At 36.8% G+C, this 18,975-nt stretch overlaps 1 protein-coding gene and 1 long non-coding RNA gene across 2 annotated transcripts in view; both read left to right on the top strand.

The window, feature by feature from the left end:
* ANK3 (ankyrin 3) overlaps positions 1-18,975 on the top strand; it is a 707,231-nt gene that overhangs the window by 110,653 nt on the left and 577,603 nt on the right. The window contains exon 2 of the mRNA NM_001204403.2: positions 7,652-7,690. Coding sequence (NP_001191332.1) covers positions 7,652-7,690 — 39 coding nt within the window. The remainder of the gene's footprint in view (positions 1-7,651; positions 7,691-18,975) is intronic.
* Positions 10,357-18,975, top strand: part of LOC124902430 (uncharacterized) — a 33,828-nt gene continuing 25,209 nt past the window's right edge. Inside the window, exon 1 of the long non-coding RNA XR_007062150.1 lies at positions 10,357-13,436. This is a non-coding gene — a long non-coding RNA (uncharacterized LOC124902430). The remainder of the gene's footprint in view (positions 13,437-18,975) is intronic.

Raw genomic sequence — 18,975 nt, 5'->3', positions numbered from 1 at the left:
TAGATCAGGGATTTTGTAGAATCTAACCTAAAGGATTTGACTGGGTTCCGTTGGTCCCATGTGAAAAATAACTTGATAGGATTCACTTAACTTCAGATCTATGCTCTCTCCTCTCTCTCATTTTAAAAGCCCATTTTCTTCCCTGCCAGGATTCTAGTATGCATTTTACTAAGATAGCTCTTTTAATATATTCATTCATATAATGATTCAGCATGTATTTAATGAGCATGTATTTATCAGATGCTATGTCAGGTACAAGAGATACAGTGGTAAACAAGACAACAGTAGCTCCTGTCCTCAGTTTCTCTCTTAGAAGTGACTTTAAAGCCTCAGGTAGCTGGGCACGGTGGCTCACTCCTGTAATCCCAGCACTTTGGGAGGCTGAGGGAGGTGAATCATGAGGTCAGGAGCTTGAGACCAGCCTGACCAACATGATGAAACCCCATCTCTACTAAAAATACAATAACTAGCTGGGTGTGGTGGTATGCCTGTAATCTCAGATACTCAGGAGGCTGAGGCAGGAGAATCACTTGTACCTGGGAGGCAGAGATTGCAGTGAGCCGAGATCATGCTGCTGCACTCCAGCCTGGGCAACAGAGCAAGGCTTCACCTCAAAAAAAAAAAGCCTCAGGCCTATTTTTTGTAGGTTTAGTTAACCTACCTACAAACTTACTGGCTTTCCAAACCAACTTTCTGGCTTTCCAAACATGTCTGTGAAATTGGAGAGCTAAATTGATAACATCTGCAACAGCTAATATTTATCAAGCATTCACCCATTCTACATCCATCACCTCATTTCATCCTAACAACAATTTAGGTAGCAGCATAATCATTATTCCATCATAAATGAGGAAACAGGCAATATTTCAGGTTTGCGTGTTCTAGAACTTGCACTCTTCACCACTGTGTGATTACTACTAGATTGAGTAAGCCTCAGCACCATTTTGCTTGAATTGACTTTGATCTTGCATTGTTATTCCAGGCCAGGGTTCAAACATCTCCTATCTGACTGTTAAAATTTACGATTTGAGTTGCCACTATATTATCAGCTGAGTAATTGGATCAGACCTGCTCCTGGATCCATAGTGGTAGTATTTGTCTTTGTTCTTTACAGAGCCTCATTATATTGCTCGAATATCATCTTGAAAAAAACATAGATGATGTTAGAAATATTTTTTAACTAGATAAAAATTGCTAACAATAAATGTGTTACTTGGAATTTGCTAGTAGTTAATTCTAACTGTATTAGTTGGTCTGAGTTCAACAAGTGGATGATGACTTTTCTCAACAAATTGGTTGATATTATGCTCCTCAAACCTGCCATGAATTACACGACCCCAGGAGAGTCTGGAATGTTGATGTGATAGTGACAAATTGTTTCACTGCTCTCTAATGCAAAAATATTGTAAATGAGAATCATCTCAGTTCATTTATTCAAGTGTGTTTAAAATGATATATTTGGAGATCTGTACTTTCTGAGCTCTGTAGTAGACATTTCTTTAAGGAAATTAAAAATAAAATGTCAAATTCAGGACAAAACAATCTAGAATTTTAGTTATGTAAATGAGTGAGATAAATAGTACTGTTCTAGCACCTCTCTCTCTCAAAGGTCCTTTTTAGAATGCTGCATTCCAGTAGGCACTTCTCTTCAACATCTTGGCAGGTGCATTTGTAGGTATAAGCGAACACATTGCATTGCATTGCATTGCATTGCCTGGCATCGTTTGCAGTGGAGAAATATTTGACCGAATTGCTTTTCTCTAATTTAACCAGTGTTATTTCAGTAGAGCAGATTGCAGGCAGGTCACAGAACAGCTAGGAGCAGGGCTCTGAAGACAGACTTGGGTTTGAATGCTGTCTTTGCAATGTATATAAGCTGCGTAACTTCGGGCAATTTAGTCAATCTCTCTAAGTCTCAGATTCTTCATCTATAAAATGAGAACAATACTAATTCCTACCTCACGTTGTTTAAATGATCAAATATGGCTTATGCTGTGCATACATTAAATGCCCAGTAACTCCAAAAGGCTGTTTTACTTGTTATTAGAGAAGGTATCCATTTTCTTTTTATTCATTAAAAAAATCACTACTTTAAAAGAACAAGTGGTCTTGGTAATTAGCGTTATTGCTAAATACAAAAAAGCCACTTCAAAGAAGAACAAAAAGCAATAACACAACTAATGGTTTCTTAAGTGGGCTGTCAAGATGTCACACTTTGATTCTAGTGGTCAATATAAAAACATTTAAATTCATGCCTAATCCTTGGTATCAAATGAGCCTCTGGAAACTACAAGTTATTGAAACTGTCTGGACTCTGGAGTCCCTCAACCTGGGTTCAGATATAGGCTCTGTTACTTATTTACTGTGTAACTTTGGGTAAGTTACTTATTCTCTTTGTGCCTCAGTTTCCTTTTATGTAAAATGGAGGTAATAAAAGTACCTGCCTCATAGGGTTGTTAGGTAAGGATTAGATAAGATAATGTTTGTAAACTCTTTAGAACAGTACCTGACAGATACAAGGATTAACTGCAGTTATTTTAAATGGATGGTCCTAATATAACTAAACTTGATTTTCACACAAATATAATAAACACCTTTGATGGAGATGCATTTTGAATTATGGATAGAATAATTCTTTTTTATCATACACATTGACTAGCTGGAAATGTAAAATAAGAAATATGTCAGATATGGAAAGTCACCAATGCAAGATCTCCTTGGAAACAGGGTCATTATTTAAAATAAATCATTTATAAGATGGTATATAGTTATTATAAACAGTGTTCAATCTTTTTAATTTAGCATTTGTAGTAATATTATAATTCCCATTCCTGGCTTTATAAATGCAGGCATGATTTGGCCCATATATCCTGGCTTGTTACCAGAAGAGATTATTCAGTCAAGGAAGAAACAAGGACTGTGTAACACAGTCTCAAAGTAATTACTGTGGACTTCAGAATAGTCTTATTGGAGAGCAATTGCTGAGAAACGAACCATGATTGCTTCTGTAGCTCTAGTAGAAATAGTAAATGTTTGGTAACTAATGGTTCTGGAGACTGTAGGCATCAGTTTCGGCAAACAGGAGGAACTTGGCATTTGACAACAGAAGTCCTGGGTTCAGGTTCTGTTGCTTCCATTACTGACTGTGTAACTCCAGGCAATTCGCTCATTTCTTTGCTCATCAGTTTCATCTTTTATCAAATAAAAATAATAACATCTCCCCTGAGGCTCTACAGGATTGTGAGCCAAAGAAGATAAAATGTGAGAGCCCTAGGCACATGATTGTGCTTTCCATTTTTACTAATGTCAAGACAGGAGTCAAGAACCAAGCATTTTTGTTTTTCTGTGGAACCTGAATATATGGCCTGGCCTATGAAAAGGGCAAAGCAAAAGAGATATTTTCTATTTAAATTGTATTCCACTAAATTTAATTATAATTAGTTTAATTCTGTTTATTCAGATTCTACTTAAGCACATCACTTTACCTCATAGCATATGATTTTGACCTGCTTGGCAGAATGAGATCTGGGAAGAGGAACTTAGATTGGAGGCAGGGTTAGGGAGGAACAGGGTCTTGGTGTGCAGCTGGTTATCAGAAAAGGTGGGTGTGGGTGTGTTTTTCAAGACTTGGTTATCAGATGAGGTCTTAGCAAGATAGACTCAAGACTCTTTGGGAGTGGGCCTGGGCATGGGGAAGGAAAAGAGGGTAGGATCTATATGTTTTGGCGGTACAGAGAGGTTTGGGAGGGGCAGGATCTGAGGTTCCTGTTAGAGAGATGGGAGAAAGCCTGGGGGTGAAGGAGCTCTTCCAGAAGAGGGCAGAACTAACCTAAAGAAAGAGGATGGCCTGGGTAATTTTATTCTAGGAACCACTATAGGGTCAACTTTGATTATGAAGCTTTCTAATACTGGACATTTTTTTTCTTATTTCTGGTTTTAATTTCCTGTCAATTTTTCAACAGTTGCTAAAGTTAAATTGTCCTAGAGTAGCACAGAAAGACATGTATTTATTTAGGGTCAGGTGAATAGGAGCCAAACTTGCCCTTCCATAATGTGGTGAGCTGTAGAGGAGAAACATTTGGATCAGAGTTTGGCTGGTGGTCATGAAAAGGAAAGCGGATGGGCCAAATCTTATTTATACTTGGCATTTGCTCTGACAGACACCTTCAACCCTAATGGGTGTATGAGAAAGAAGGAGAAGGCCAGGGGGTGCCACAGAGACATTTCACTCTGGTTTTCTCCTTCTACCTTGCTGTTTACCACCATCTCCTTCTTACCTGCTAACTCAACCCTTTTCCTCCAAGAGTTTCTCTTTTGCTTCAAAGTCCTACTCTTTTCTGCTTCAGTGTTTGTACCTCCAGTGGCCAAAGCTATGAGAGTTTTTTATTCTCTCTGCTTAGAGGATGACTAAGGAGAAGTCCCACCTGTGTCTCTGGTGTCTCCTACTAATTTGCTTTCCCATAGAAATATTGATGAATATTAAAATATTTCTACAGATAATAATGAGTGACCTACATTTCTTTAGGTAAGCTAATAAACTAGCCATGCTTTATTGCTTTACTTTTATTAGAAGACGTTTTATAAGGTCTAAACAACAATTCTTTTTGGCTATATATAAATTTTGGACAAAGCATATAACTGGGTTGGAGACTGACTACATTATAGCATGGTGGCATGGTTGCAATGGAAAATAGACACTGGAACCAGATAACGTGGGTGTGCATTCAGGCCCCACCATGTACTGGCTGCATGACTTTGGGCAACTCATATTACTGCTTTAAAAATCAGTTTCCTCTGTGAGAAGGAGATAAAAAAATTTAATATCATAAAATAAAGAACTGAGGGATGCTTCCACAATGTTATAAAGACTACCTGTCTTAAGCCCATAGTCAACATCAAACTCAATTATGAGCCTCTAGAAGCTTTGCTCTTTTAATCAGTTAAAAGACTAGAATATCTGTGTTTACTATTACTTTTAAACATTGTTTTGGAAATTCTGGCCTATGTAATAAGATGTGCAAAAAAGAAAATGAGAGAGAGAATTGCAGGAAAAGAGCATCTGAAGAATAACTGTAATGAAAAGTGAGTTGGGCCTGTGTAAAGAACAAACAGGTAGAAATAGCCAAGAACATTTTTTGAAAAAGAAGTTCAGAGTATCTTTTCTGCTCAAATGTTGTGTGCTCTATAAAGTTTATACTGTGAGCACAAGAATTGACAGATGGATCAGAGGAAGAGAAATGAACAGCCCTGAATCTAGTGTCTGGTTGGCTTAATCAAGCACTTATGCTGTGCTAGGCACTGAAGGGATTTCTGTACATTATCTGGTTTAATCCTTACAACAAGGCTGCAAGATAGATATTGACAAGCTAGACTTGCCCAGGTGTCAAAAACTGACATCAGAGCTCAGGTGTGCCTCAAAGCAAATTTTGCACTGATGACCCAGGAAGAAATAAATGATTTCACCAGTGGTGCTGGGGAAAGTCTGTGAGAGGTGGTAGTCAAAAACTGTAGTAAGTACTCATCTCACGTTATACCTATGATAAAGTCCACATGGGTTAAAAAAAAAGCCAAGGGTAAAAGATAGTGATAGGGACTGGGAGGACAAGCATAAGTAGCTATTTAATTGATGCTGGATTGAGGAAGAACTTTCTAAGCATAGAAGCCCAGAGCAGACATCCCCAAGTAAATGATTGATATGTTTCATTACATAAAATTTAAACTTCTGTGCATCAAAACCATTATAAACCAAACCTAAATGCAAATAACGGACTGGGAAAGCAAATGAAAATATTTATATAATTATGATACACAAATGATTAATAGCCTTATTTCTAAAGAGCTCTTATAAATCAATAGAAACCCACAAACATCCTGAGTAAAGACAGTCAAAGGCATAAAGGGGAAGAACTGCAATAGATTGTAAAAATTGCTTCATTGTAATAACAAGAAAAAATAACTCGAATAAAAAGTACATACCATTTCACTATGAAATAAAAAAGCATTTTATGAAAATGCTAAGATATATTTGTGAATGTTTAGAGAAATGGGCACTTGCCTACACTGTGAATTGTTCTTTTGATGAGCAATCTATAGATTTTGACCTTTTGGTGGGCACATGATACGCAAGTGCCATGAAAAAAGTTTGTTCCTTTTCTTCAACAATACCATTTTGGCGAATTTCTCTTAAGGAAATCAGCAGATGTAAAGTCAAGATTTTTGTGCAAGGAGATTATTACAATGTTAGATGTGCTAGACAAAAATGTATATCATAAATACTAGGAAGTATTTGAAAAAATCTTGCCATGTAAATAGGTAGATTAGGATGCAACTATCAAGACCACATTTTGAGACTATAATGTGGAAAAATGATATGATTTTAAGGGGAAAAGGCAAGATATACTGTATATGTGAAATAATTTCAATCTTGTTTAAAACACTGTATATGTGAGACTGTGTGTATTGAAAGAGAACAACACAAAATATTAACTTTCCTCTAATGGTAGGACTATGATTGATTTTCATTTTTTGTGCTTGGCACATTTTCTGTAATGAATGTGCATTGCTTTTATGATTATACAAAGCTATTACATTTACTGTTTTAGAAGTTGTGAAGATTAAATAAGAAAATGTAGCTGAGACACCAGGAATAAAGTTAAGGTTTTAGAAATGTTAATTTCCTTCTATTTTTTTCTTTATTGGAAGCTCAAATAGAAACATGAAATTGCAGATTTAATTCTGTATGACTTGATAGTGGGCTTTTTAAAGCTGACAAGATGAAATAATTTTTATGGTGTCAATTTGAATAGCCTTTGATAGAGTCGAATGAAATGTACACAAGTGTAGTTAGAGTTAACTTCAAAGTAGAATGTTCCTTTCTTTACATTCTACGTATTTAAACTTCAGTACCAGTTGGAATAATTTGCATATTGCACATATTACTATATTCTGATAGGAAATGAGCTAAAGGTATTTCTTCCCTGATGGAATAAAGTTAGCATTTTGTAAAAACAGAAAGTCAGCCTTAATCTTCATCTTGGAGTTCCTGTAGTCAGAGTAGATCCTTGGTTTTCTATTTTGAGGTTGTAATAATATTATAGGAACCATGTCATCTCTTGCATAATCAGACTTTTGGCTTTACAAGCCTTGCTATTCTGACCCTTGGTAAACAATATTTACAGTAATGAAGTTTGGGAGAAAATGGATTTCTCATAATAGCTGTGCAAGAAAGTTATATGGGAAAATGTTTTCTGATGCCAGCATTTTCATGCGGAGGAAAAAAATTTTAAATTACCTTTATTATTACTGTTACAGTTGCATCTCATTGGCATATTCATTTCAAGTTCAAGATCATACTTTTTTAATGTATCTGGCACAATTTCATTTTTAAAAATTCTCTTTAAACCATTGATGCTATTGATTTGGTGTCCCTGCTTTTCTTTATTTTGTAGTTATCTAAGCATTTCCTGCAGATGTCTTTTTTTTTTTAAACTAGAATTCATCTTATTTCCTCTATTTTACTTTGTGTTCTCCCCTTTTAAGGAACTTACTATGTTTATAAGTCAATTAATAATGTGCATGTGTAAATCACCGTCATGGTAAATATATGGAATTCTTTCATGTTTGCTAAATGTTTGTTTCTTTACTTTTTTAGGGTGGCTTTGGATCAGATTATTCACGAAGCTCTAGAAAGGTAATGAAAATTATCACTAAACTCAACAAATATATTATTTTGTGTGGACAAGTTTCTTCTTACAATTATAAACATAGAGTTGAATGAATTATTTACAGGAGATGGTCCTTTTAAACCAGTTTATTGTTGTTGTTGTTGTTATTTTTATTTAACTAGAGAACAATTTGAAGGCTTTTATACTCTCGCCTAGTGGAGCAACCTGGTCACCCGGACTTGTGCTCATGGTAGGATAATTCCTTGGTGCTATTAGTTGTGTTTCACATCTGCTTCTCAGCTGTGCATTTGAGGCTTGATTTAATGGCAGGTACAGAGTAACCAAGACCCCCTGGAGACTGATACAGCATCCATTTCTCCATTGATAATGCCATGAAAATTAAATGTTTGATTTAGCTAAACCGAAAAGTCTACATGGGAGTCCAATTATGATCAGATGTTTGCTTCTAGATCTGGAATTAGAAAAAGGAGAGTCACTTCAATTATTTTAATAGTGAAAGAGCTTTAGCTATGGTAACCTGATATGTCTGTCTAACCTTGAAGGATATTCTGCTCAGTGGGCTATGCAGGCTACCTTTCCCCTATATAGTGACGTGTAAATGCTTCAACTCTCTCCCTCTTGGCCTCTCATCTTCCTGGAGTCATCACCATTCATCTTTCCATGTGCTCATGCCATCCACTATTCTTTTCAACCAGCAGGGTCAGGTAAGGGTTAGGACAGACTGCATTAGAATGTCAGTTCTCCTTGCTTCATTTTCTTCATATAGAAATAGATGAATAATAGTATCTGCCTCATAAGTTTATTGTGAGAATTTATTGAAACAAAACGTTTAACTTGGTGCCATAATAAGAGCTCAATAAATATCAATATAATTCACATTATTATTATTTTTTCCTAAGATGTCTTCCGCATTCATATGTATATATTTTACTAGGCTGAATTTTGTGAAATTGCCATTTTGGTAAGTAAAAAATAGTCTAACACCAGCTATTTCATATGATTAAACTAACTATTAATTAACTTATAATTCTATTTTCTATCTATGGTCTTTTAGTTATTTTGTTTCTGTAACATATTCGCTACACAATTCTGTGGTACACTTGAATTATCTTTTTTTTTGACAGAGTCTTGCTCTGTTGCCCAGGCTGGAGTGCAGTGGTATGATCTTAGCTCACTGCAACATCTGCCTCCCGGGTTCAAACAATTCTCCTGCCTCAGTCTCCCAAGTAGCTGGAAATATAGGCACACACCACCATGCCCAACTAATTTTTGTATTTTTCATAGAGATGGGGTTTCGCCAGGTTGGCCAGGCTGGTCTCGAACTCCTGACCTCAGGTGATCTGCCTGCTTCGACCTCCCAAAGTGCTGGGATTACAGGCGTGAGCCATGGTACCCGGTCTGAATTGTCTTCCTAAAATGATTTTTTTTTTTGTTTTTGTTCAGTGAAAGGACTGAGTGATGCTGGTTTTTTTCATGAAGGACTCCTAAGAATGATAATGTAGTCTAGTAAGACTTTGACATTGGTTCAGTAGGCTCATCATGATACTAGCTGGGTTCCAGCAGGATGTTGTAATGTTGCTGGTCAATATTAACTGTGTCACCAGTAATAAGCTAAAGTCAGATTTATCTGGGTCAGGCACACAATTTTATCTTAGCCATATGATATGTTCTACCTATCAAAGTATTTTTCCATTTTTATTGTATTTACTTTCTCAATAATTTTAAGGAGCAAAAGTAAAACTATCTTAATCCTTTAAAGATTAAAAATGGAGCCATACGTTAACTAACTTTATCAGGAGCATAGATCTAGTTAGTGGCTATTCAGATAGTTAAATAAAGGTCTTCATAATTTCAAAGCTAATATAGGCTTTTATAGGTCTTATCCCAAACTCATTTGATATAATTGGATAAATAAAATCCTCCCAATTTCTCCCATTCCTACTATATTTCCAGGATTCTGTGGTTACTCAAAAGCATTCTCTATGTTTTAGAAATTTATATCTAGTAAAGTTAATAATTAATACAATTTTTAGAATGAATGGAACATGAATTTCAACAATACTCTGATGAAGAACAAAAATATAGGCTGTCATATCTCAAGATTGCAATATTTTAGTTTATCTTAAACCTTCTACAAGAATGAAACAACTATTCATATATGGATTTAGGACTTTCTTGTTCTGTTTTACTCACATATTTGTGCACAGTCCAACCTCATTTATAGCCTTCAGCCATTTAAACAGCTTCTGAAATGAATGTGTGGTTATGCTACCTTCTGTAGCAATTTTTATATATGGTATAAATGCTGTCTTTACTGAAATTCTGACTCTGTGCCCGTGATGCCAGAAGATACAAAGACTACTGGGAATACCAGGCTGAAATGATTTCTTTAGAGGCTCCAACGCCACCAGGAATTCAGTTAGGTGAGTGATTAAAACTGAGTGAGCCAAGGCGGGTGGATCACGAGGTCAGGAGATTGAGATCATCCTGGCTAACACGGTGAAACCCCATCTCTACTAAAAATACAAAAAATTAGCCGGGCATGGTGGCAAGCGCCTGTAATCCCAGCTACTGGGGAGGCTGAGGCAGGAGAATTGCTTGAATCTGGGAGGCGGAGGTTGCAGTGAGCCGAGATCGCGCCACTGCACTCCAGCCTGGGAGACAGAGCGAGACTCCATCTAAAAAATAAAATGAAATAAAAACCAACAAAACAACAACAACAACAAAATACCGAGTGAGGCAAAAAGAGGTGAGAGTTGATACCTTTTATCCCCAACTTAAAAGTATCTTCTATTTTACATTTTTGGTATCTTGGGAGCATCTCTTTTGGCCTTTAACCCATCTGGTATATACTCATCTGCCTCAGTGCTTTGGAACCCTGACTGTCCTGTCTGCTCAGTTTGCCTTCTTTCTTTCTTGTCATAATTTCAAAGAATGTCCATTTCAGATGTGAGAGCTCTGAACTCGACAGAGATAACTTGCTGCTTGGCACCCACTCAGCCCCTGCAGCTCCTGTCACTTAATGGTCCAACCCTCTTTGCCAGCAAAATGTCTGGGGCCTCTGCGGAAAATGCAGAATCCTTTTTCAGAATCTCTGTTATTGAATATCCTCACTCAGCTAAAATATTAAAATCCTCCTGGGATTAGGTAATGAGACAGTGTACACTTCATAGGGTACAAATTGAAGAGGTAGTTTGGATGAATTCTGAATTGAATGAGATAAGAGTGTCAATAAAAATAAAAGGAAAACCATTTATTTTGTGTAGTATCTGATTCTTTCCCCATTTCTTCGCCCCACTTCTCCACTGCTTTGATAATGTGTCTCTATAGAATATGACTCCCGTGGCAACATTTAAGAAACCGAGGTCACTTTTTAGATCTTGTATGCCAAACACTTGCCTAGGCAAGCCTTTGATTTAGATGCCTGTAAATGTGACTTGACATCTATAGATAGGTGTGCTGTCAGGGCATTCGATTTACTTAATAGAAAGGATGAAGGAAAGTGTGAGCCTATCTGTAGAATTCTTTTGTCTTTGAACTGTGGAATATGAGTCATCAGGAACAATGCTGCAGCATATCAGGCAAAGTCTGAATCCCAATGACACAATTCTAAGAACTGTCAGAATTGACTCATGCCCAGTGTAAGGGTATGGGTTACAATGAGGCTGACTAAAAGTGGGTGGGTGATTTTGGTTGCTTGCAAAAGTTTGTTTTCATTCTACACTCAGAAGAAGTCAGGGCTACCACTATTCCAGTGCGAGGCTGCCCTGCAGGTCTGTATGTGGGGAGACTGCCTTCTGTTAGGTTCAGAAGTGCGAGCACTCTGACTGCATCCTCTGGCATTTATTTATCCTCACAACTGAGCCAGCGGGCGGCCAGGTGTGTCCTTCCTCTGCTGATTCAAGTGAGCCCTTCTTGAAGGTGTGTGCTCTGTAGGAGGAAAAGACTCCTGTTTTCATTTTGGAGTATCGGTCCCTAAACACCTTTCTGTGATGTTTGAGGAAGATGTATTTGTATTGGTTTCTGTTCTAAGGAGACTAGTGTTACTGTAGGCCCTTTAACAAATGTGTTAGAAATGCAAATATTTGCATATGGAAGAATAAAATATTAAGAATAGTTATAAAAGTATATAATTTACTCATATAGAAATTATCTTATGAATGATCACTTTAGTTAACTGACATCTAGCTATCACATTACAAGTAACTGACACCAGCTTCGAGCCCACTAGCTTAGAATTCTGGTTTGGCAGACCGAAAGATGCATAGCCACAAGCTGTTTATCTCATGCTGACACAAAGCATACTGTTTAGCATCCTTTAGCCCCTGAGAAAATCTAATTTTTCAATTGCCCCTCTGTTTTCTAGAGCCACTCTAAGTTGTTAAAGATTTCAGAAACGAAGTCTGTTATCACAGTATTTTCTTGCAGACATCTGATTCTTCCTGAAGGTGGAAGAATCATCCATTTTATTTATTTTTTTCCTACAGGTTTAATTTGCTTTGCTCAAGTCTGTGGTGAGGATATTATTTGCCCTGGAAAATGACTTAAAAATATGACAGTGATCTCTTCAAGTTTGGGTTGGTTATTAGACTCAAGATTTTGGCAGTTAGTAAAGTTTCATTTAGAAAAATACAATATTTAGAGACCAACCATGAAGATTTTATTCGGGAAGCATTTTTTTTTTTTTTCCGCTCTCGTTGCCCAGGCTGTAGTGCAATGGCACAATCTCGGCTCACTGCAGTCTCCACCTCCCAGGTTCAAGCGATTCTCCTGTCTCAGCCTCCTGAGTAACTGGGATTACAGGTGCCCACCACTACACCCAGCTAATTTTTGGTATTTTTAAGAGAGACAGGGTTTCACCATGTTGGCCAGGCTGGTCTTGAACTCCTGACCCCAGGTGATCTGCTCACCTCAGCCTCCCAAAGTGCTGGGATTACAGGCAGGAAGCAATCTTTCTACAAAAGGGGCCCTCCTTGCCTTTCTTTGATTACTAATGGATAGAATATTTTTTCATGCTTCGTAAATATTTAATGACTTCTTTTGTGAATTGTCTGTACATGTCTTTGGGTATTATTTTATTAGAGTATTAGTATTTTTCTTGTTAATTTATATGAGCTTTTTATATATTAATACTATTATTCCTTTATCATTTTGGTGGTGAATATTTTTCTAGACTCCCTTTGCCTTCTAATTCTCTTTATATTCTGATTAACCCTTAAAGTTTAATTTAAAAATCTAGTAAACAATTGTTTTCCAACTGTGCTGGAACTGTTAACTGTATAATTGTTTTCTAATATGTAAATCTTTAGAAAATATAGTTAGGCACAATTAAGGATCATATTTTTGTTAGGGGGGTAAATATGGCTGAAAGATAAGCTAAAGTTAGGCTTTAAATTCTAAGGCAAGAGATCATCCAGTATAAATGTGTTTCAGTCTAGCACAGATGTTGTTGGATGCAATTATGGGTTATGATATGGTAAGGTATCCATGAATGCTTATTTCTTTGATGCAGTGCAGTGGTTTTCAAGCAGTCTGCATTGTGTAATATGTCACTGTCATATTATCTCATATTCTGTCATATTATCTCACTGTTTTGTAACTCTCATAGAAGTCCCCTTTTGAATCTACCATAGTTGGCAAGGAAAAAAAAAAAGGAAAAAAGAAGTCCCCTTTGTGGTAGACCCTTTTATGGATTTATTCATGTCACATCTACATCTATTGTCACATCTAAACGCACCCTGGGATTCTAAGGTAAATTCTTACTCTACAATATTCATCTCTGTGATGGAAGTTGTGGTCCTAACTTGGGTAATGCAATAGCTCTTGATCACAAGCTCCCTCCATCTGGAGGGCAGTATAGCCTAGTAATTCAGAGTGAGAGCTCTGCAATGACAATGACTTGGTTGGAGTCTGGCTGGCTAGTTACTCATTAGGAATCATGAAGAAGTTACTAGACCACCTTATTCCTCAATTTTCTCATTTCTAAAGGTAATTAATAACAGGTATCTATCTCACTGGGTTGTTAGGATAATTAACTGAGAATGTACTGTTCTCAAAAAGTTCTTGGCAAGTACGTTTGATAAATTTCAATGATCACCACCACTACTATACAGTCATTCCTTCCTCTTTCCTTTTCTTCAATTGATGGCATTCTAACCCCATTTTCCAGGTAGCAGGTTTTAAGAAGATGATGCTAAAACATAGAAAATCATGAGGGCTTAAAAAAATGTTAAAGTATAATAGTAAAGCAGTAGACAAGAACTTGGTGATGGAGCTAGGAAAAGATGCTTTACAGTTCAGTTTCAAAAGGGTCAAGGTTTCTTCCTATGCCCATCTCCCTGACTCACATGTCACATACTCCACATTTAAGATATTCTAACAGTGGGATCCGAAATAGAGGAACAGGATTTGAGGATGTTAATCTTACTTTGGTCTTTAATAATACATCTTTATTTGTCTATCTAGCCTGTGTACTATCACTAAACATATGTAATCTGGATATTCCTAGACGTAAAATATATATGTTTGCATACACAAACTCACATTGTGCATGTGTATTTGTTTAGAATATATAATGATGTAAGTTAGAGATCTAGAAAGTCTCAGATGCCTGCTGAGCCTCTGGTGGGAGTTACTCTGCTAATTCATCCCAGGGGGAGGAGCTTTGACATGATAAATACTGTATTCTCTAAGCTACAATGATATGCTTCTCTCTTCACAATAAAGTATAATGCATATCACTCACTACTTAGTCTGTATCTCCCAACTGAAGACGTTATTGCAATAAAAAATGCTTCCTTCTCAGGCCATAGAAAAGTAGGACATATATATATTCTTAGGTTCACAAAGGAGAAAAAGACTTCCTGATGTAGCTGATTGTGGTTTGTATTTTGAGCTTATGGCCAGTCTGCTGATATTTAATTACTTCAAATGGTGCAGTAAAAAACAAGAGTAAAGGAGCTAACATTTACCGAGTGGCCATTATGTGCTATATGATGTTAACTCATTGGATTCTCTACTGATTCTGTGAAATTGGCTTGATTACTTTCAATTTATGGATGGGGGAGCAGAGGTTCAAAGTAGTTGGTATATAGCAAAGCTCTGTTTGAACCCAGATTTCAGTGAGTCCCCAAATCATGCCCCACCCAGGGCCATGCTGCCTGCTGATACATCTGGATAAAGGAAAACAGAAAAATTCGTCAAGGATTTCCAGGTATGACATTTGAAGTGCTGGTCCCAGCTGGTCACTCTCAGGGCAATCAGCTGGAGGTCACTGTGGCTGATAACGACATTAGGTAGGTTTCTCCCTCAGCCATAAGCTTCTTCTCTCTGTGACCATTCTCTGGTTTTTGGGTACAGCCTCACTCTTGGCTACTCATCTGCGTGCTCTGACTTGTACCCTACCTCCTATGTCCCACCATAGTTTTTTATTTGCTAGATTTGCATTCTAACCAGCAAAGACATATTGGTGACAGTTATTTGCTTCACTTATTTATTTCAACTTTGATCCAGTGTTTTGAATATCTAGCTATAATTTGAAGCATGTATAACCTTCTGTGGAAAGAGTCAGCAATTAAGATGTCAGCCTTGTCAGGATTCCGGAGCACTATGCTGATAGGTACTTGGAAATGATATAGATAGAGCATATGCTAAAACCTTCTGGCATGTAAATATGTTGCTCTTTAATGGAAAGTTTCCAGGATTCGATAGGCAGCCTTTTGCAATGATTAAGGTATTCTGGGCTGGATTCAGCCTCCGTTAGTAATTTTTTTTTTATATTAGAAAGGGAGGCAGTATGTGGTGTAAGGTAAAGTGGGTGAGCCTGAAAGTCAGACTGATTCAGACTCAAATTTTAGTCCCAATCCTTACTGTCTGTGTGTCCCTGGGCTAGACACTTTACCTCTTTGAGCTCTGGTTATCTATCTGCAAAATAGATATAATACCTACCTTATGGGATGGTTTATAACACCCAGTATGGTGCATAGCACAGGCCATCACTGAGCAAATATGAGTTCTCTTCATCTTGACTGGAAGATAATGCTTTCTAAAGTTCTTGTGTTCAATGAGTGCATATATATGGACAGGAAGGCTGATTAAATAAGCCTTTTCTTACATAAAGACTATTTTTCTTTATAGGCCTTTATCTGTTCCAATTCAAAGGAAGGTTTAAGCCCTCTCATTTCCTTGATACCTCTGCATGAGATAAGACTTGAACTCAATATGCAACAGCTTGTTGGGTGTGTTCCATACATCTGTTATGTGCAAGTGTTCTTCCTGCCGGATCTGGGGAGCAGTGAGAGTCACATTTTGCTAGTAGACTTAGCTGTTGATGATTTCAACACAACATTTATCATGACATAGGGGATGCTTTTGAAATTGTGCAGGAAGCTGAAATGAGTAATGTGGCAAGTCAAGGCTTACAGCCATAGAAGGAACCACTTCTCGGCTGGGTAGGGAATGTGTTTCTTCTCAGACTCCTCTCTTCTGTGAATTCCATGCTCCCTGATAAAGACTGGCCTTTCCTACCAGGATACCTTATTAAAGTAAACTCAACAGTTTTTTCCAATGATGTCAAATGTGGCCAAACAAAGGCTTACAGTTGATGAGTACAAGCATAGCAAGGTTTTACCTTAATCAGCTCTTAGACATACTCCCCAGTGTCTAAAACTTGTTAACTCTTCTTTCACTTTTAATTCAACAGCTATATAAGTGCTTTTTATATACAAGCCATACTTTTAAAATGAAAACATAATATTTTAATCACCAAATGAGGGAAGACTTTTCTCTCTACAGAAATGTATGTTTTAGAAAGGATCCTGTGTACTTTAAAAAAAAAATCTCATGAGACCAATTAATTTGATTAATAAAAAACTTTTAAATTATTTTTAGTATTGTACTGTTAACTGTGTTCCAAAAGAAAATGTTCCTCAACCCAAATTTATAACTGTGTTTATTATTTTTCTAATTCAGCATCGAAAAACTAAGAAATGCATCATTTTTAAAAATCAGGAAGTATAGGGAACTGAGAAGAGACTGACTACCTTTCATTTGTATGTTCCTTTTCTAATTGTCAATATTGCTACTCATCAACTGCTAACACTAAATTTTCTGATGGCTTAAAGTCTAATAATAAAGCTACATTTTTATTTTTTTCCAAGAACTTCTTTATAGACAGAAATAAATTAAAATTTGCCACTTTCGACTGATAATTTGAAGCTCTAGAAATTGTCAGTACCAATATGGCACTCCTACAACATGACTTTAGAAGGCAGGAACTTTTGCATGAAGTCATAAAGAGTATTCAGAAGTTTGTAAATGCTTTCTGTCACTTTACTTGAAATTATTTGATTTTTAAAAATCATCCTTATGAAATGAGCAGAGAAGCTCTTATTAATACAAGTTTATAGATAAACAAACTGAATCTCAGCTTACATGACTTGCACAAAGCCACATATTGACCTGCCTATGAATACAGCACAGGCCTTTGTCCATTGATTTTTCCATCATCCCATTATTTGACTCAACTCCTTTAAGAGACCACATGCTCCCATTCACATAGTTTCCTTGTAAGAAGCAAGCAAGCTTTGTTCCTTGGTGGCCTGGACTTTAAACATGAATGGATAAAATCTGTAACTAATGGATAGAATCTATAACTAAGTATAGAGAAACTAAAACTAGTTCATAAATGCTTATGAATCCTTCTGTGTGTGTCTCTATTTTCCTTTTTATTTATTTATTTCTTTATATTTTTATTTTATTTTTGTAGAGATGGGATTTTGTCATGTTGCCTAGGCCGGTCTCAAACTCCCTGCCTCAAGTGATCCTCCTTCCTCAGCCTCCCAAAGTACTGGGATTTACAGGTGTGAGCCACTGCACCTGGCCTGCTTTCCCTTCTTTAAGTGCATTTGAGTCTGTAGACAGATCACATCTTGTCATGTGTGTCATTTATGTGTTTCCCGTAGAACCTAAAAGGAGAGAGACTGAAAGCTGGTCTGTGGCTATCAGTTGTGCTGATGCCAGTTCAGTTTACTGATCACGTTTACCAGGCTCAAGCTTTTAAAATGAGGCTCTATGGAAACGAATTGCCCATTTTAGGGACTTGAACGGGACTGCAATCAGCCATTTACAAGAATGGTGGAATATACTAAAAGATTAAGCTCTAATCATGTGTTTACTGGAAAATTTAAGGCAGCAAAACTTAAATCTCATTCTGCTGTTCAATAGCCATCTAGGGAGCAGCACAGCAAGTGGACTACAATGTTGGTGCTTATGGAGAGAAGGTCCATTTTCTACCTTCTGGCTCTTGAACTTGGTGATTTAGTTGTTTGGAGCTTACTTGTTTCAATAATAAAGCACACTATCTATGAGTGTTGGAGCCTTTCTTTCCTATATGGGAGTTATCTCCTCTGAGCATAGGTGGTGGCCACTCATTGAAAATGTTATAGATGGGCATTGGAGAAATTCCTTCCACATCTTTGGTTCTGGAAACCCCCAAAGCATTATTCTATTTTCCTTTTTTACTTTTTGCAAATTTAGGTAACCTTGAAAAATATACTGAGTAGCTAGCTTCTATTTCCACAGCTCTGGCATGGAAATTTCTTACAGGCTAGAACTGCTGCTTAGATTCGTTGCTATGCAACCAGGAGAGGAGTTCACAAGCTTTGTCACAAGCCAGCAATCAAATTAGAGGCAATATTTTCTTTTATGTGTGTTTTCTTTTTGTCAACTTTTGTGTTTGATATTGTTTGTTTACATCTTTTGGGAAGTTTTTATTTGTAGAAATGCCTTTTCCAGAGAAACTTTATTTGTTGAAGGCATTTTGGTTTGATCTTGCTACATTAAAAGGTGAGCTCCACCTCAAAGGCAGTAGGTATTGAATTAGACCTTGAAGCAAATAAAAGAATTCTTATAAAAACATGATGATGTCACAATACTGCTTTTGCTACTATCTTATTAAGAAAACATACATGTAGCTTTGCATTCTTTCCACTGCTTATTTTTACTTATTGTGCACTCTTTGACATAAATCAGTGACTCGGAACCTACCGTGCCTTTGTCCTCTTGACCTTGAAAGTCATCTCTGAATGAATACAAGATCATTTAAAACTTTATGGTCAGGATTTGTTCTAGCTGAATTCTTTGGAGCCATCTTTTACTTAAATCCCTCTTAACCTTTACAGATTTTGCCTTTCCAATACTAATGAACAGTTTTTAAACAAATGCTTGAATAAATGCTTGTAACCAATGTTTATATTTAAATTATCTATTTTCAATTATACATGGATGTGTA

The sequence above is a fragment of the Homo sapiens genome, chromosome 10 (assembly GCF_000001405.40).
Source record: "Homo sapiens chromosome 10, GRCh38.p14 Primary Assembly".
Classification (NCBI taxonomy): domain Eukaryota; kingdom Metazoa; phylum Chordata; class Mammalia; order Primates; family Hominidae; genus Homo; species Homo sapiens.
The sequence above is the reverse complement of the archived record's forward strand: the minus strand, read 5'-3'. Positions and strand labels throughout refer to the sequence as shown.